General features: G+C 48.2%; 1 protein-coding gene across 28 annotated transcripts in view, besides 3 other annotated features; it reads right to left on the bottom strand.

Moving 5' to 3' along the window:
- MEI1 (meiotic double-stranded break formation protein 1) overlaps nt 1–19,297 on the bottom strand; it is a 99,952-nt gene that overhangs the window by 2,498 nt on the left and 78,157 nt on the right. For 12 of the 28 annotated variants that reach the window (XM_011529945.4, XM_011529943.3, XM_011529935.3 and 9 more), the window contains 9 exons: nt 18,145–18,249; nt 15,563–15,673; nt 15,112–15,272; nt 12,537–12,663; nt 12,174–12,349; nt 3,047–3,128; nt 2,480–2,586; nt 1,415–1,546; nt 1,110–1,222 (listed from right to left, as the gene is read on the bottom strand). In XM_011529945.4, coding sequence (XP_011528247.1) covers nt 1,110–1,222; nt 1,415–1,546; nt 2,480–2,586; nt 3,047–3,128; nt 12,174–12,349; nt 12,537–12,663; nt 15,112–15,272; nt 15,563–15,673; nt 18,145–18,249 — 1,114 coding nt within the window. Of the gene's footprint in view, nt 1–1,109; nt 1,223–1,414; nt 1,547–2,479; nt 2,587–3,046; nt 3,129–12,173; nt 12,350–12,536; nt 12,664–15,111; nt 15,273–15,548; nt 15,674–18,023; nt 18,269–19,297 lie in introns of those variants that run through there. The other 16 variants (NM_152513.4, XM_047441161.1, XR_937819.2 and 13 more) reach the window with 14 other exon arrangements.
- Nucleotides 15,282–15,331: an enhancer, noted in NCBI's record as "active region_19133". NCBI's record gives its function as "activates an Ori minimal core promoter by ATAC-STARR-seq in GM12878 lymphoblastoid cells {active_cell/tissue: GM12878}" and the evidence as "EXISTENCE:reporter gene assay evidence [ECO:0000049][PMID:35858748]".
- Nucleotides 15,482–15,581: an enhancer, noted in NCBI's record as "active region_19132". NCBI's record gives its function as "activates an Ori minimal core promoter by ATAC-STARR-seq in GM12878 lymphoblastoid cells {active_cell/tissue: GM12878}" and the evidence as "EXISTENCE:reporter gene assay evidence [ECO:0000049][PMID:35858748]".
- Nucleotides 15,592–15,641: an enhancer, noted in NCBI's record as "active region_19131". NCBI's record gives its function as "activates an Ori minimal core promoter by ATAC-STARR-seq in GM12878 lymphoblastoid cells {active_cell/tissue: GM12878}" and the evidence as "EXISTENCE:reporter gene assay evidence [ECO:0000049][PMID:35858748]".

Below are 19,297 nucleotides of genomic sequence, written 5' to 3'. Positions count from 1 at the left end.
TGTTTTTTTTCTGGGACAGAGTCATGTTTTGTCGCCCAGGGTGCAGTACAGTGGTGTGATCTTGGCTCACTGCCCTCCGCATCCCCGATTCAAGCGATTCTTGTGCCTCAGCCTCCCGAGTAGCTAGGACTACAGGCACATGCCACCACACCCAGCTAATTTTGGTATTTTTCATAGAGATGAGGTTTCACCATGTTGGCCAGACTGGTCTCAAACTCCTGGCCTCAGGCGTGAGCCACCGCACTTGGCCTATTCATGAAACAAAGTTTTGGCTACATTTTGACTGCAACTCATCATGTGAAGTCAGGTATGGAATTTTCCACCTGTAGCATCACATCAGCACTCAAAAAGTTTCAGATTTTGGAGCACTTTGGATTTCTAATTTTTGTATTAGGGATGCTCAACCTGTACTACAAGTACCTTAACACTCCTAGCTGATGTGAGGATTAAATATAATGCATGTAGCCGGGCATGGTGGCTCATGCCTGTAATCCCAGCACTTTGGGAGGCCGAGGGGGGCAGATCGCAAGGTCAGGAGTTCGAGACCAGCCTGTCCAATATGGTGAAACCCTGTCTCTACTAAAAATAGAAAAAAAAAAAAAAAACCTGGGCGTGGTGGCAGGCACCTGTAGTCCCAGCTACTCGGGAGGCTGAGGCAGGAGAATCGCTTGAGCCTGGGAGGCGGAGGTTACAGTGAGCCAAGATCGTGCCACTGCACTCCAGCCTGGGCGACGGAGCAAGACTCCATCTCAAAAATGAATAAATAAATATATATATATGTAAAATGCATGTAATGTGCCTGCTTTCTGTAGGAACTTAATATTAACAGGACACGGCATTGTTGTTGTCAACACTGTTAATTGACCCCTGCTTACTTTAGAAGACTAGTGCACCTAGGTCCTGAAGCATGATGCCACAGCTTCTTATGGCCTGGGAGAGCTTGCCCAGGCCAAGACAGGTCAGCCAAAGCCACACCTTGCAGAACATCACCCACCTCTTCATGAGAGAGGACACTGCTACTCCGGTACCGCATAAACTGGCCCAGGAAGAGAAGCCCCAAACACCCAGTGATTTGGCATCTCCTTCATCATAGATGCAAGAAAGGATACAGCATGTCCTGCAGGGGTGGCTGGCCTGAGGAGGTGCTAGGGGGAAGGCCCTCCAAGGAGGCCTGCAGGGTCTGGGCCATGCTGTGGTCAGCCAGGTGTCCCATGCTCTGGAGCTGCAGGGAGAAGAGGGCAGGGAAGACAGGCCTCCTCAGTGCCCATTCCACACAGGCCCTAACTGCCTCCATCCTCTGTACTTCCCTCCTCCCATTCCTTGGTTGCTGTGGCCAGAGCTCCCACCCTCCAAGAGAAGATGGTGTTGAGGGTCTAGCTTTACAGTGGCTGCATGGCCTCCCCTTCCCACCCACCTGCTGGAAGAAGCCATGCAGGGCCTGGAGTGTGGTGTTCGAGAGGGTAGACAGGTCAGCCAAAGCCACACCTTGCAGAACATCACCCACCTCTTCATGAGAGAGGACACTGCTACTCCGGTACCGCATAAACTGGCCCAGGAAGAGAAACCCCCAAACACCCAGTGATTTGGCATCTCCTTCATCATAGACAACTGCTGTGCCCCAACTTTAGGAGACACTGTCCTGAAGCCCACAGAACCTGCCTGCCTTCAAGGAGCTCAGAGTTAGTGGGCAGAGGTGGGACTGTGTCATGGGGAAGTGGGGTAAGTAAGGCAACCTGTGAGATCCTGAGAGAGCTGGCCCTCCTGACCCCTTTGGCCTTGGCTCCCTCCTACCCAACCTTGCACTGAACACTCATGGCCAAAATGAACTACGTGTGGCTCCCCTGACATACCACCATGTGCTCTTGTACCTGTTGTTTGTACTTCACTACCTGGAATACCTTTCCTCCTCTCTGCCTATTAATCTCTCAAGCCACAGCTAAAATGTTACCTTCACTGCTGAGAAGCAATTACTCTTTCCTCTTTGTTCCTACACCAACCACTGATGTACTTGTTGATGATCCACTTCGCTGTCATTCTTAGGCCTGCTGCTTTGTTATTTATTCAAGGGGCACTTACTGTGTGCCCCACAGTTAGCATCTCCTCTACTCTACCACTTGTAGCATCATATTTACATTACTAGTTTACTTGTCTGTCGTCCTCTTTAGACTGAGGGACCCTAAAGGCAGAGTATCTGGTTCATTGATATCCTTAGTATCTAGCAGACCTGGCATGTGGTAGACAGGCCCTGGTCAACATGTCATGAGAGAAATAGGGGAAAGGGTGTCGGAGTCCCCTGGAGTGAGGAGATATGGGCATTCAGAGGAATTCTTTCAGCAAGTCTCTTGTAGGGTGAAGGCCTGCCGAGCCCTTCCACCTTCTTTAAGGATTAGGGTTACCTAAAGTAAGGAGACCCTGGCCTCTTCAGCACCACCCAGCTCATGACACTCCTCAGACCACAAGATATCCTTTCTGCACTTACCAGGGTCATGAGCCTCAAAATCTCAGGTCTGAGGAAGGAATTCTCTCCAGCATCCAAGAGGGTAAACAGCAAAAACCGATTCCAAGGCTGGGAGGCCACGTGGAGAGCTTCAAGAAACACTGGGTTGTTAATGCTTCCAAGACCTTGCCTTGGGACATTGCTCAAGAGGACCTTCTCCTATTGGCTTAAAAAGGGGCTACCCAGTTAGAGACAGGGCACTGAACAAGCTGACCCAAGGAGGGTTCTTTCTTCCCTGGGCTTCTAATCCACTTATGTTGACTGGCTCGGTGAAACTATATACGCCATGATTGTGGAAGGCAGGCAGTAAGAAGGGCTCTGCCACTTAAGAGCATTGTGACCTTGGTTGGGCACATCATTTGACCTATCTGAACCTTATTGATCCCATCTGTATAATGGGCATGACTGCCCTTGCAGTGCTGCTAAAAGAATTAAACAAAACAAGTATGAGTCACACAAGGGAATGGAAGGCTGGAGCAGGAGGGTGGAAGGGTGTTGCTCCCTCTAATCTCTCTCATGGGAACATCAGATAATGTGGAGAGTTTCTACCAATGTCTGGGCTCCGGGCATCCAGGTAGTCAAGCAAGGCCTCCAGGCAGCCAACACAGGCCTGGGACAATAGAGGGTCCTTCTGCAGAAAAAAAAAAAAAAAATCAGGTCAGGTTTTGCTACCAATGGCTTTTGGTGCCAACCAAGAAAAAACATTTGGTTTTCAGAGTTACTTGGATTTCAGAATTTCAGATTTGGGATTATAGCCCTGTAGATAATCAAGAAATGTTTATTGGCTTCATCTCTCACCCTCATACAGAGCACAGTGCTTATACTGTGTGATTTACCTACATTCAGGAGAGTGCTTTGGGCTAGGCACAGTGGCTCACGCCTGTAATCCCAGCACTTTGGGAGGCCAAAGCGTCTGGATCACCTGAGGTCGGGAGTTTGAGACCAGCCTGGTCAACATGGTGAAACCCCATCTCTACTAAATATACAAAAATTAGCTAGGTGTGTTGGTGCACACCTGTAGTCCCAGCTACTGAGGAGGTTGAGGCAGGAGAATCGATTGAACCCGGGAGGCGGAGGTTGCGGTGAGCTGAGATTGCACCACTTGCACTCCAGCCTGAGCGACAGAGCGAAACTCCATCGTGGTGGCTCACACCTGTAATCCCAGCACTTTGGGAGGCTGAGCGGGTGGATCACGAGGTCAGGAGTTCAGCCTGGCCAAGATGATGAAACCCCATCTCTACTAAAAATACAAAAAATTAGCTGGGCGTGGTGGTGGGCGCCTGTAATCCCAGCTACTTGGGCGGCTGAGGCAGATAATTGCTTGAACCCGGGAGCAGAATGAGCCACGATCATGCCACTGCACTCCAGCCTGGGCAACAGAGCAAGACTCTATCTGAAAAAAAAAAAAAAAAAAAAAAAAAAAAAAAGAATGCTTTGTTTCAGAAAAGAAGATGGACCCTGGGCCACACTAAAAGATTTATAGATTACAGAGCCTCACAGTTTACTTAAGCCAGTGGGTTTCAACCTTTTTTTTTTTTTTTAAAGCAACAGGATCTTTCATCAAAATTGTATGCTCTAATAAGCACATGAAAATATTTATCATTAGTCATTAGGGAAATGCAAATTAAAACTACTAGGTACCCCTGTACATCTACCAATAGCTAAAGTTAAAAAGACTGACAACACCAAGTGTTGAGGAGAATGTGGAGAAGCTGGCACTCATACATTGCTGGTGGGAAGATAAAATGGTGCAGCCACTTTGGGAAACAATTTGATGGCTTCTTATAAAGTTAAACATACACTTATCACCCCCATAACCACCCTTATCACTCCAGTGCCCACAGCCCTTCTTCACAGCCCTCTGCTGCCACTGACCTGCCCCTTCACCCCATGTGACCCAGGATGGTGGACCCTGGACACTCTCTCTACTCTTATTTCAACTAACACTTTCCTCCACCGTGCTCCATTCCTGGGGGAATAGAGGCTGTTCTCATGTCAGCCTTTTATTTTGCAGATGGAGAACATAAAGATTAGTAAAAAGTGACTTGCTAAACATTTTCAAGTCAGAGGCTGGGCAGGGGCTTTGACACAGATTCCTGTGACTCTAGATACTGTACCTTCCACTGCACTGCACTGGGCCACCCAACTGCTGAAGATTCTGCATAGCTGATCAGCACTCAGTTTGTAGTGCTGGTGCCACCAGGCTGCTTTGGCCCAGAGGTGTCAAGGAGGACCAGCACCCAGAGCCCTAGCTTAGGCTTCACTGTCATTTTTCTCCCTTGACACCAGTTTTTAAAAGTATAGTTTTATCGAGATATAATTCACAAACCATAATACTCATCCTTTAAAGGATATAATTCAGTAGTTTTTTAAAATTATATCCATAGAGTTGCACAGCAATGTAATTCAAGAATATTTTCATCACCCCTAAAAAGAAACCCCATACTCAGCAGTCACTCTTCATTCCCCCATCTCTCCACTCAGCCCTAGGCAACTACTAATCTACTTTCTGTCTCCATGAATTTGCCTTTTCCAGACATTTCTCATAAGCAGAATCATAATATGTGCTCTTTTGTATCTGACTTCTTTCACTTAATGTTCTCAAGGTTCATCCATGTTGTAGCATGTGTCAGTACTTCATTCCTTTGTATGGTCAAATAGTATTTCATTGTATGGATATACAATTTGTCCATTCATCAGTTGATGGACATTGGGGTTGTTTCCACTTTTTCATCATTATGAATAGTGCTGCTATGGACATTCAGATACAAGGTTTTGTGTGGACATTCTCCACCTCCTGTCAACACTTGCTATTATCTGTGTTCTTATTTTAGCCACCCTCATGGGTATGAGGATGGCCTAGCTGTCATCTGCATGTACAGCCTCTTGTTCACCAGTTGCCTTACCTCCAGGCACTCTCCTTGCCCCCATCTTTCCCACTGTGGCTGAGAGGGAACTTGCTTTTTTTCTTTTGAGACAGGTCTCACTCTGTCACCCAGGCTGCAGCTCAGTGGCATCATGACAGCTCACTTTGGCTTCAACCTCCTGGGCTTAGGTGATCCTCCCATCTCAGCCTCCTGAGTAGATGGAACTACAGGCATGTGCCACCACGTCCAGCTAATTTTTTGTATTTTTTATAGAGATAGGGTTGTGCTGTGTTGCCCAGGCTGGTCTGGAACTCGTAGACTCAAGCAATCCACCCACCTTGGCCTCCCTGAGTGCTAGGATTACAAGCATGAGCCATAGTACCCAGCCCGAGAGAGAGCTTTCAAACACACAGTCTGATAGATGTCCTTCCACAGTTCGCACAGTGATTCTTAGCCTAATGTATGAGGCATGGCTCAGTTTGGCTCTGCCCAGCTTTTTGTCTCATTTTCTGCTTCATCACACCCCACACCCCAGCATGCACTTTCAGAATATGTGATTTTATACATGCTGTTGTCCTGCCGGAATGCCCTTCCCTCTATACCTCTGCCTAGACACCCTTCAAGGCTGAGTTCAAATGTCACCTTCTCTGTGAAGCCTCCTCTGACTTCCCACACGGGGCATTTTTGCCTAAAAGAAGTTTTCAGACCAGGTGTGGTGGCTCACGCCTGTAATCCCAGCACTTCGGGGCTGAGGTGGGCGGATCACAAGGTCAGGAGTTCGAGACCAACCTGGCCAATATGGTGAAACCTTGTCTCTACTAAAAATACAAAATTAGCCAGACATGGTGGCGGGAGCCTGTAGTCCCAGCTGCTCAGGAGGGTGAGGCAGGAGAATCACTTGAACCCAGGAGGCAGAGGTTGTAAGTGAGCCGAGATCGCGCCATTGCACTCCAGCCTGGGTGACAGAGTGAGACTCTGTCTCAGAAAAAAAAAAGAAAAAAAGAAGTTCAGTGGAAGAAGATAATGTAAACCACTATCATATAATAAAATATGATAATGTGATACTCAATTCACAGCTGAATGAACCATTCTGGGAGCTCAAGGGAGAGGGATTTCCTCTATTGCTGGGTTACTGTGGAATAAATATTTGCTGAATGTATGAATCATTGAACAAATGAATGAAGAAATGAATAAAAAGCGAGTTTTAAGACCGGGTGCGGTGGCTCACACCTGTAATCCCAGAACTTTGGGATGCCAAGGCAGGCAGATCACTTGAGGCCAGGAGTTTTGAGACCAACCTGGCCAACATGGCGAAACCCTGTCTCTACTAAACATACAAAAAATTAGCCAGGTATGGTGGCAAGTGCCTGTAATCCCAGCTACTTGGTAGGCTGAGGCACGAGAATCTCTTGCAACTGGAAGGCAGAGGTTGCAGTGAGCCAAGATCACGCCACTGCACTCCAGCCTGGACAACAGAATGAGAGTCTGTCTCAAAAAACAAAACAAAAAAACAAACAAACTAGTTTTAAACAACAAACTGGTTGAAGGGAATGAAGGAGGCTTAGCTATAGCCATGAGGTCCTGGGCAGTGACAGAGGGGACATTGTGGCTGAACAAAGAAGGCCAGGAAATTTCTCGAGAGTGTGACAGTGAGAGAAAAGAGGAAAAGCCTACTTGGTCCTGTTCACTAGGCAATTATAGGGCAGTCACTGTGAGGCTAAGACAGGCTCCTCAGCAATACCCTCCCATAAGCAGGGTAGGCCCAGCACCTTCTACAGGGGGAGTCATGAGCTTCTCAGGTTGGGTTCCCCTTCCCAGGGACTGTTGAGGACAGACAGTCAAAAACTACCAGAGAGACAAATACAGGATTCCACTTACATGAGGTCCCTACAGTAGTCAAATTCATAGAGATAGCAAGTAAAATGGTAGATGCCAGGGGCTGGGGGAGGGGACTGGGGAATTGTTTAATGGGTACAGAGTTTCAGTTTGGGAAGATGAAAAGATCTAGAGATGGATGATGGTGAAAGTTGCACAACAATGTGAATGTACTTAATGCCACTGACCCATATACTTAAAATGATTAAAATACTAAATTGTATGTTATATATAGTTTACTACAATTAAAACAAGGCCAGGTGCAGTGACTCACACCTGTAATCCTAGCACTTTGTGAGGCCAAAGCCAGAGGATTGCTTGAGCCCAGGAGGTCAAGACCAGCCTGGACAACATAGTGAGATATCATCTCTACGAAAGTATTTTATTTTTTATTTATTTATTTTTTGAGATGGAGTCTTGCTCTGTCACCCAGGCTGGAGTGCACTGGCATGATCTTGGCTCACTGCAACCTCCACCTCCCGGGTTCAAGTGATTCTCCTGCCTTGGCCTCCCAAGTAGCTGGGATTACAGGTGCGCGCCACCACGCCCGGCTAATTTTTTTGTATTTTTAGTAGAGATGAGGTTTCACCCTGTTGGCCAGGCTGGCCTCAAATTCCTGACAAGTGATCCGCCCGTCTTGGCTCCCAAAGTGCTGAGATTACAGGCATGAGCCACTGCGCCTGGCCTTACTACCAATACAAAAGTATTTTAAAATTAGCTGGGCATGGTGGTGTATACCCGTAGTCCCAGCTATTCAGGAGGTTGAGATGGGAGGATCACTTAAGCTCAGCAGGTTAAGGTGGCAGTGAGCCATGATCATGCCACTGTACTCTAGCTTGGGCGACAGCAAGACCCTATCTCAAAAATAAAAATAAACAGTTGCCAGAGGCAGAGTTGAATGTCACAGGCCAGGGAGACACCTAGGCTCTTGGGCATGAGAGGCGAATGGTGAAAGTGCTATACAATACTTCACTGGTGGCTGGGCACGTTGGCTCACACCTGTAATCCCAGCACTTTGGGAGGCCGAGGTGGGCAGATCACCTAAGGTTGGGAGTTTGAGACCAGCCTGGCCAACATGGTGAAACCCTGTCTCTACTAAAAATACAAAAATTAGCCAGGCATGGTGGCACACACCTGTAATCCCAACTACTCAGGAAGCTGAGGCAGAAGAATCGCTTAAACCCAGGAGGTGGAGGTTGCAGTGAGCTGGGATCATACCACTGCACTGCAGCCTGGGTGACAGAGCAAGACTATGTCTCAAAAAAAACAAAACAAAACCCACAAACCTCACTGGCACCCCACCCTAGTGTTTAGGCTATTGGTTTGAAGAAGGCTTTTTCATCACTCAAGGCCCAGTTCAAATGCTACCTCTCCTGTGCAGCCTTCCAATACAGGTTGAGGCTGGGCACGCCTGTAATCCCAGCACTTTGGGATGCCGAGGCAGGTGGATCACTTGAGGTCACGAGTTCGAGACCAGCCTGGCCAACATGGTGAAACCTCATGTCTACTAAAAATACAAAATTAGCCAGGCATTGTGGTGCGTACCTGTAGTCCCAGGTACTTGGGAGGCTGAGGCAGGAGAATCACTTAACTCAGGAGGCAGAGGTTGCAGTGAGCTGGGATTGCACCACTGCACTCCAGCCTGGGTGACAGAGCGAGACTCCATCTCAAAAACAAACAAAAAAACAAATACTGGTTGAGTATCTGTAATTAAAAATTTGAAATCTGAAATATCCCCATATCCAAAACTTTTGAGCACCAACATGATGCTCAAAGCAGATGCTCATTGGGCATTTCGGATTTTGGACTTTTGTATTAGGAATGCTCAACTGCTAATAGGTCATTTTGGTATTAGATGTAGTTATTTGTGTTTCCTATAATCTGTGAGTGCCTAAATGGCTGGGATCATGTAATGTTAATTTCTGTGGTTTTCATCCATTCAACAAACATTCCCAGATGCCAACTTTGTGCCAAGCTCTGTGCTGGGTATTGGGAAATCATTCCCCCCACACCTCCTGTTCTGAATCTTAAAACAGGAACATCAGCGCTTTTAGAAACATTAGGGAGAAAGCATTTCCCTAACTGGCCCTCCTCACCCAAGGAAGGTTTTATCTAGCAGGCAAGATACTAGCTTAAGATCTACTGTGCCATCAGGGCAGGATTAAGGTATTAAAGATTATGCTCCCATGAACTTAAACTCTTAAGATCCTGGCCAGCTGGCTAAGTGTCCATAATGCAAACACAGTTTTTCCCGCCTGTGGACCCCTGGTCTGGCAAGAAGGAGGGTGTTTTAAAAAGCTCATTTTGGACAGATATGATTAAGCAAGTATAATAAAATGTTATTAGTAGAATCTAGGTGTTGGGTGTATGAATGTTCACTGTAAAACTCTCTCATTGCTGTATGTTTGAAAAACTGCAGGAAAAAAAAAGCCCATTCTGTTCCAGAGTCCCAGCCAATATTCTACTATGATGTTTACCAGCAATAAAGCTTATGTTTTGGTTCTCATCTGATTCCTGCATTCTAAATTAGCTTTAAACCCACAAGGGGAAGGACACACAAAGATTAACCAGACCCAGACTCTGCCCTTGAGTATATCACAGCCTGGTTGGGGGAATAGTGATATGAAAATGGAAACTTGAAACAGAGAGCTAAGTGCTATAATAGGATAGATGTTTGATCCCTAAAGAGCACAGAGCCTTGTGCAAGGATGTGCCACAGGACAAGACTCAACAACCGCTAACTCAGCATAGGGCCCACTCCTGGGACATCTTCCTGGGGCCCCCAGTATCCTTCATAGGCCATGACATTGGGTCAGGGCTCGGGATATGATGGCTACATAAACACTGATCTACAAGTGTCTCCTAAGCCATAAAACACAAACCCCTTGGAGGTAGACATGCTTTTGCTTGCTCTGGATCCCCTCCTTCTTCTGGTAGCAGTTTTCCCATGGGGAACCATCCCTCTCTTAGGACCAGTCCACCTGGGCTATGGAGAGTTGACCACATGCTCTGGCCTCCAGGAGAGGGCACTGACCCAAGCCAGGCCAATCAGGGCATCCCATGCCCCAGCCATGGTGACTGGCATATTACCCAAGCCAGCCTAATGAGACTCAATTCTGGGAACTATGAGGAAAGAGAAATCTTTTTTCCATAGAGGATATAAGCTAGGAGCTACTGCTGGTCATCCTACTATCTCATAAAAATAAAGCTGACAGTGAGGAATGCAAAGCCAATAGATGGAAAGAGTCTGATGACCTTCTCTGAGCTTCTGGGATCCAGCTGTGCCTGAAGCCAGTATTGACCCCAGGACTTCTCAGTTATAAGCCAAATTGAGTTTTGTTTCTGTCACTGTAGCTTTAAAAGTCTCACCCAGGCAGGGAATAGTGGCTTATGCCTGTAATCCTAGCACTTCTGGAGGCCAAGGTAAGAGGATCACTTGAGGCCAGGAGTTCGAGACCAGCCTGGAAATATAGCAAGACCCCATCTGTATTTAAAAAATAAAAATAGGGGCCGGGCGCGGTGGCTCACGCCTGTAATCCCAGCACTTTGGGAGGCCGAGGCGGGCGGATCACGAGGTCAGGAGATCGAGACCATCCTGGCTAACACGGTGAAACCCCGTCTCTACTAAAAATACAAAAAATTAGCCGGGCGTGGTAGCGGGCGCCTGTAGTCCCAGCTACTCGGGAGGCTGAGGCAGGAGAATGGCGTGAACCCGGGAGGCGGAGCTTGCAGTGAGCCGAGATCGCGCCACTGCACTCCAGCCTGGGCGACAGAGCGAGACTCCGTCTCAAAAAAAAAAAAATAAAATAAAAAATAAAAAAATAAAAAAATAAAAAAATAAAAAAATAAAAATAGGCCGGGTGTGGTGGCTCATTCCTGTAATCCCAGCACTTTGAGAGGCTGAAGCGGGTGGATCACCTGAGGTCAGGAGTTCGAGACCAGCCTGACCAATATGCGGAAACCCCGTCTCTACTAAAAATACAAAAATTAGCCGGGCATGGTGGCATGCACCTGTAATCCCAGCTACTCGGGAGGCTGAGACAGGAGAATCACTTGAACCTGGGAGGCGGAGGTTGCAGTGAGCCAAGATTGCACCATTGCACTCCAGCCTGGGCAACAAGAGCCAAACTCTGTCTCAAAAACAAATAAATAAATAGGCCAGGTGCAGTGGCTCACACCTGTAATCCCAGCACTTTGGGAGGCCGAGGCGGGAGGATCATGAAATCAGGAGATCAAGACCATCCTGGCTAACACAGTGAAAACCTTTCTCTACTAAAAATACAAAAAATTAGCCGGGCGTGGTGGTGGCTGCCTGTAGTCCCAGCTACTCGGGAGGCTGAGGCAGGAGAATGGCGTGAACCCGGGAGGCAGAGCTTGCAGTGAGTCGAGATCACGCCACCACACACCAGCCTGGGCGACAGAGCTAGACTCCGTCTAAAAAAATAATAAAAATAAATAAATAAATAAATAAATAAAATAAAAATGCCAGGCGCGGTGGCTCACGTCTGTAATCCCAGCACTTTGGGAGGCGGAGGCAGGCGGATCACGAGGTCAAGAGATTCAGACCATCCTGGCCAACATGGTGAAACCCCGTCTCTACTAAAAATACAAAAATTAGCCAGGTGTGGTGGCAGGCACCTGTAGTCCCAGCTACCCGGGAGGCTAAGGCAGGAGAATTGCTTGAACCCGGGAGGCGGAGGTTGCAGTGAGCCAAGATTGCGCCACTGCACTCCAGCCTGGGCAACAAGAGCGAAACTCTGTCTCTAAATAAATAAATAAATAAATAAATAAAATAAAAATAATAGAAATAATTTTTTTAAAAAAGTCTTAATCCACCCTCCAAGCCCTGGTAGGAGTATCAGGCTCTCGACAGGCAGCCACCCCTTCCTGCTGTTGTCCTGGGAGAAGCAAGCCCCACTCAGCAAGGGCCTTACCTGCACCAGGAGGTTCTGCAGCCCAATGACCAGGGACCGGACTTGCGACATTCGCAGTGGAGCTAGGACAGTGTCCTTGGTGGCTGGCAGTGGCTGGGCCCCTGAGGGCACCAGGGCTACCAGGGCAGAGGAAAAGCTTTGTCGCAGGGCTGTCCGCAGGAAGCATAAGATGGCAGCTGGAAGCAGGAGATTCCTTACACCCAATTCCTGTCTCCTTCCCACCTCCCACCCAGCTCTGTCACAGGATGGGAGACAATGAAGATGAGACAATTATGGAGTGACCATTGGCTGGTCAGGGTGCTGGTCTTATCTGAAAACCTAGGGAAAAAGCTTTTCTTCTGCTGGAGACTTGTGGACCCATACCTGAGAGTAGTGCAGCCTTTTTCTTTGGAAAGCTGAGAGCCTTCAATACTTGGTCCATTTCCACAGAGAGTGTCTGGTGAACCTGGCAGGGCACAGGGTAAAGGGCTAACCCCCATGTTCTGGAAGCCTGGGCAGAAAATAACCTGCCTGAAAATCTCTTCTATCACCTCCCCCCACATATCCACTGCATCAAAAGGGGACGGAGGAGGCCACACAGAGTCCTCCAAGCTGCACCAGCCCTGGCTTCAGGAGCATGCGGAGAATCAAGTCCGAACCTGGAGAACTCTTTTTCTTCCAAATCTCCCCCATCCTCACTGGCCTCCTCCATCAGACAGCCTTCTCTGGCCTCATCTGTGGTTCAGTCTCTGGCTCTGTTCACTATACACCTAACTCAGAAGATCTGGAGTCAGACAGGCCAAATCAAAATCCTGGCTCTCAAGTCAGGTACAGTGGCTTACACCTGTAATCCCAGCACTTTGGGTGGCTGAGGTGAGAGGATTCGTTGAGCCCAGGAGTTCAAGACCAGCCTGGACAACATGGCGAAGACCCATCTCTACAAGAAAATACAAAAACATTATCTGGGCATGGTAGCATGTGTCTGTAGTTCTTGCTACTCAGGAGGCTGAGGTGAGATAATCACTTGAGCTGGGAGGCCAAGGCTGCAGTGAGCTGGGATACTGCCACTGCACTCCAGCCTGGACGACAGATTCCATTTCTTTAAAAAATAAAATAAAATCCTGGCTTTGCTACCTGTCAGCTGTATGGCCTTGGGCAAGTTACTGCACCTCTCTCAGCATGCCTGACTTTCTTCATCTATGAAATTAAGACAAGCCGGGCACAGTGGCTCACGCCTATAATCCCAGCACTTCGGGATGCTGAGGTGGGTGGATCACCTGAGGTGAGGAGTTCAAGACCAGCCTGACCAACTTGGAGAAACCCCGTCTCTACTAAAAATACAAAATTAGCTGGGTGTGGTGGCAGATGCCTGTAATCCCAGCTACTAGGGAGGCTGAGGCAAGAGAATCGCTTGAACCCAGGAGGCAGAGGTTGCGGTGAGCCGAGATCACACCATTGCACTCCAGCCTGGGCAACTAGAGCAAAACTTTGTCTGAAAAAATAAAATAACAGGGAACTCTGTGTATGTGTGTCGGGGGTGAGGGGGGGTGTTATATGGGAACTCTCTGTACTACCTGCACCATTTTTCTATAAATCTAAAACTGTCCTAAAAATGAAGTCTATTAATAATAAACAAAACAGACAAAAAAAAGGTATGGCAATGTGAAGGAGCATAGCTGACTGGGAGAAGCACAAATGCCTGGCCAGAGGACAGGGAAGGTGGGTGGGAATGGCAGAAAGTAAGGCTGCAGAGGGCCAGGCCTAGAGGAGGACAAAAAGGCTGCTGAAGGAGCTTGGGCAGAAGGGGTGTGAGGACAGACTGTGGCTGCAATGATAGGACATGCAGAGGAGGGAAGAGGCGGGTGGCCAGGAGACTGTAACTAGGTCACATTAGTGGGGAGGACGAATGATCAGGCCTGAGTTAGGGCACTGGAGGTAGCTAGGAGCAGGTAATTGCCTAGGTGTGAGCTGAGGGCCAGGGCAGAGCCAAGGACAAAATGCAAGTTTTCTCCTAGGCAGGTGACTGCAGACAGCTGGATGAGCCCAGCAGCCTCACACGGAAAATTAGGAAAGGTTTCTGTCCTAAACCAACCACAGGCAACAACCTGCAGGATTTGCCAGAGCATAGATTTGCCACAGCTTGTTGCCCCTCTAGAGGCCAAAGTTTAAAACTCATGTCACTTCTGTGTGCCCATCACTAGATTGGCACAGTATTGGGCGCAGTGTGAGGATACCACAGAGGCTAGCAGATGGTTTCCATGAGAAGTAGCCCACAGAGGAGCTCACGCAGGGCACTGTGATGACAAGGCCCTACAAGAGGGAGGGGCTGAGGGGAAGGAGGTGCTCTGTGGATAAGTCCACTGCTCTCCTCTTCCCTGCATCACCTTCTCGAACAGTAATAATGACAGTTAACCATGTGTGGCATTCCACGGCTTGCCATGCTGCACTTTAAGGTCGCAGGCTGGCTTCTGCCTCCCCGTCTGGTCTTTTCTGCTCCATTCATTCCCCACCTTCTCATCACACAGAGCACCTCACCACTCCCCAAATATACAGAGCATGTCCTGAATTTGTGCAGCTTCATGCCTTTGCTCATATTGTTCTCTCTACTTGGAATGCCTTCTCCCACTATCTTTGCTGAGTACAATCTTATCCTTAAAGACTACAAGTTCCCTAAGGGTAGGACACATGCTATATTCATTTTTTATTCCTCTGTGCCAAGAATAGAGCCTGGAGTGTAGGTAAACCTTATGTGTTAAGTGGATTAATATGAAACAACCTCACAACAATCCTGAGATGTTTTCCCCATTTTGTAGGAAAGGAAACTGAGCTCAGAAAGGGTAAATACCTTGCCAAGGTCACACAGCTAATAAGCCCCCAGAGCTGGGACCAGAACTCAGGATCTTCAACACTCCTTTGAGTGCCACCCCATGCCTCAAAGCCACAGGAGTTAAAGACTAACCTGCAAACTGCCCTTGTGCTGCTGGGCAGAGAAGGAGGCAGTGAGCAGCCAGGCAGAGCAGAGGAGTGCAGTCCTGGGAGAATCTGCCTTTGCCAAGGTGAGGGCCAGCATCTTCTCCAGAAGCTCCATCAGGCCTGTGCTGCTCAGGAGCACTGCAGCAGCTGTCGGGGGTGGGCAAGGCAGGGCCCACAGGAGTTACAGAGGAGCTTCAGCTAAGTGCCACTATGGTGCTTAGCACCTGATTGGGGCTTCACAAACAAACAGAGGATCATCCTGAGGCTCTAAGGGTCCCAGCTTCATAACAGAAGCTCAGGTTATTAGAGCCAGAAAGGACCTTATGACCACCAGCCACACACACAACCCTATTTGTTTTTTTAAGATGAAAAAGTTGAGATACAGAGGACCACAGACTGCCCAGCACTCTTCACTGTCCCAGCCCGGGCCCCTGCACCTCTTTTCTGACTGCTGGGTGTGGTCTGATGAAGGCTCCAATACAGGAAGTTGAAGGAGGGCTGCAGGATGTCCACGTCAGTGGGGCTGCACTTCCCACACAGCTTGCTTACTGCAAGAGATGAAAGTCCCCAGTCGGCCTGTCGCAAAACACTCACACTTGTCATAGGTGGTAGCCTGCGACTGGCTATTTCAGATGTCAGTCTTGGGGAGCAAGCACAAACTAAGTATCCCTGATATTACAACCAATGGAAAGAAACACAGTGACAAACCTTAAGGCACATTCACACCCTCCATCTAGACAAACATCAGGCAAGCAGCCTACAGCTGCACATCACAGAAAGACTTTAGGATTTCAAAGGGATCCATCCTGTGAACATCGTCACCACCTTCCCAAGGGAACTTTAACAGTCGAATGAAGTGCAGTTCCCTGCACTTGCCACATCCCCTCTCTCACATCACTTCATTTAGCTAACTCCTCTTGTCCCCGTCAGCAATCAAGATTCAGCTCAGGCCTCCGCAGTGGCTTACGCCTGTAATCCCAACACTTTGGGAGGCAGAGGCAGGCAGATTGCTTGAGCCCAGGAGTTCAAGACCAACCTGGGCAATGTGGTGAGACCCCGTCTCTCCACAAAAAAATACAAAAAATTAGCTGGGCATGGTGGCACACACTGGTAGTCCCAGCTACTCGAGAGGCTGAGGTGGAAGGATCGCCTGAGCCCGAGAGGTAGAGGCTGCAGTGAGCAGTTATCATGCTATTATACTTCAACCTGGGTGACAGAGTGAGACCCTGTCTCAAAAAAAAAAAAAAAAAGAAAAGAAAAAAATTCAGCTCAAAGTTCATCTCCCCCTTGAAGCCTTCCTTAACCTCTCAAGGCAAGATTAGATGTGCTTCTGCATTCTCCCAGGCCTCATCAGTGCAACATTACACTGTAGATATCTATAGAACATATCCCTTTACTCTTGGGAACTCCCACTTCCCATCTCCCTATCCCCATCCTAATATGAAACCTACCTACAGCTCCATTCACTTTTTGGCAGCCACATCACACCCTGACTTCGGTGCTCACCCAGACAAGCAGGTCTCAGCTCCCTCCCACACCAGTACCTCCACCCCGAACCACAGTCCTCTACTCTCTGCTGTCATATAGAAGTGCTCAAGGATTATATGTAAATGTCCTATTACATTTCATGTGTGGGTTTCAGCCTGTTACTCCCTGTCAGAGGCTCTTCTGAAGGCTGAGTTTGTCACACACAGATCCCCCTCCTAGCTTAGTGTCAGCCTTGATCTCACAGACAGGCTGGTGATGACTGGCACCAGGCTGAGGCCATCTGCAATGCGTCCCCAGTGGCCTTTTTTTGAATCTGACACTGATGTTCTCATGAGGTGGACTGGGCTCCAGGCAGGGAAGATGCCCCATCTTCACCTGTGGCTACAGGAGCTGGGGGGTCCACAAACACTGAAGACATGTCATTTTTCCTATTCATTTCAACCTTCCCTCAGCAAATCTTCCTGCAGGTGCTGCCTGTGAAGTGATGGCAGCATCATGAGTTGAGAAACCGAGGAGGTTTGGGGTGTGGGTAAGAAAAAAGCCTGGAGAACTGTGAACTGGATCATCAGATCTGAGTCAATTGTAGGATGAGCTGGAGAGCTGACCTTGTGCCAGGAAAAAAGGAATCTGCATGAATAGGATCTGTTGAAGGTCTACTGTGTGTCAAGCACTGTGTGACATTCTCTATCTAACTAGATAAGTATTCCTTATCTTAACAACTAGATAAGTATTCCGTATCTTAACCCTAGTTTAGGAAAGTACTACTACTTTACCTATGAGGAACCTAAGACTCACAGAGACTAGATGATTGCTAGTGACTAAGCTGAGATTCAAACCCAGGCCTTCCTGACTCTAGAGCTTGTGCCTGTCATACAGATTTGTTTGTTTTAGGGACGAGGTCTCACTCCATTGCCCAGGCTGGGTGCAGTGGTGAGATCATAGCTCACTGCAGCCTTGACGTCCTGGGCTCAAGCAATCCTCCCGCCTCGGCCTTCCCAAGTTGCTGGGACTATATATAGGTCTGCATCACGACACACAGCTAATTATTTGTATTTTTTTTGTAGAGACAGGGTTTCACCATGTTGCCAAGGCTGGTCTTGAACTCCTGAGCTCAAACGACATGCTGCCTCAGCCTCCCAAAGTGCTAGGATTATAGGCGTGAGCCACTAGGCCTGGCAGTTTGTAGAGGCAGGATCTTGCTATGTTGCCCAGGCTGGTCTTGAACTCCTGGCTTCAAACAATCCTCCGGCCTCAAACACCCAAAGTGCTGGGATTACAGGCATGAGCACCCCCCTGGCCTCATAATGCTGATTTTTTGCAGAGGTAGGGTGTCTCCCAAACATTCCCAGAGAACAAGCAGAGAAAGCCCTGAGAGGTCCTTTAGCAAGAAAACCCTAGGGACAGACTGACCTACTAGCTTCTTCCAAAGGGATGAAAGAGTAGAAGAAAGAAGAACACCAGCCTACTTAGTGAGCACCCACTGCACGTCCAGCCCTGGGCCCTTGGGCGCTATCCCAAGCAGCCAGGGCACCTTGGTGAAGGAGCTTCATGGCCACGCTGTCCAGTTCTTGCTCTGACACATTCCTGAGCTGCATCAGGGAGAGGAGGCTCAGCAGCAATGGTAGGTTCCCCGAGGCTGTGAAGAACAAGGAGGACTGGGCAAGAAGCCTGATGCTCAGATCACCTGAAGGTCAGACACCCTGCCCTGCTTCAATGGCCCTTAATAACAGGTTCAAAGTTTTTTGTTTCCTAAGGGGTGAGGTGTTTTGTTGGGATTTACTCCTATTTCTTTCTTCATTTAGAACAGGCGTAACTGATATACTAAGTGCCAGACATAGGTTGGTACCAGGAATTCATTATTTCATTTAATCCCACTAAACAAAATGTGAAGCATGGATTGTTATTCCTATTTTGCACTTACAAAATTGAGGCTCAGAGAGGCTGAGTGACTTCTCCAAGGTCCCACAGCCAGAAAGTGGCAGGATGCTGTGGTCTGAATGTTTGTGTTCCTCCAAAATTCATGTTGAAATCTTAACCCCCAATGTAATAGTATTAGGAAGTGAGGCCTTTGGTAGATGACTGAATCATGAGGGTAGAATCTTCATGAATGGGATGAGTGGCCTTTTGAAAGAAACTGCGAGGAGCTCCCTCCCTCACCCCTTCTGTCATGTGAGGACACAGTAAGAAGACAAGTCATCATGCTGGCACATGCCTATAACCCCAGCTACTCAGGAGTCTGAGGTTGGGGGATTGCTTGAGCCTAGGAGGTCAAGGCTGTGGGGGGCAGGGGAGAAGGAGGAGGAAGAAAGGAGGAGAAGGAAGAAAGGAGGAGAAGGAAGGAAGGAGGAGGAGGGAGGGGAGAAGGAGGGGAAAGAGGAGGAAAAGAGGAAGAAGAACAAGAGGAGAAGAAGAAAAGAAGAAGAAGAAAGAAGAAGATGAAGGAGAAAGAAGGATGGATGGAAGGAAGGAACGAAGGAAGGAAGGAAGGAAGCAGGGAAGGAATGAAGGAAGGAAGGAGGGAAGGAAGGAAAGAAGACAGCCATTTATGAACCAGGAAGTAGGCCTTCACCAGACACTGAATCTTTCAGTACCTTGATTTTGGATTTCCCAGCCCCCAAAACTGGGAGAAATAAATTCCTGTTGTTTATAAGTCACCCAGTCTATGGCCCAAATAGACCCAAATC

Source organism: Homo sapiens, chromosome 22 (genome assembly GCF_000001405.40).
Source record: "Homo sapiens chromosome 22, GRCh38.p14 Primary Assembly".
NCBI lineage: Eukaryota > Metazoa > Chordata > Mammalia > Primates > Hominidae > Homo > Homo sapiens.
This window is presented reverse-complemented; position numbering and strand designations above follow the sequence as displayed.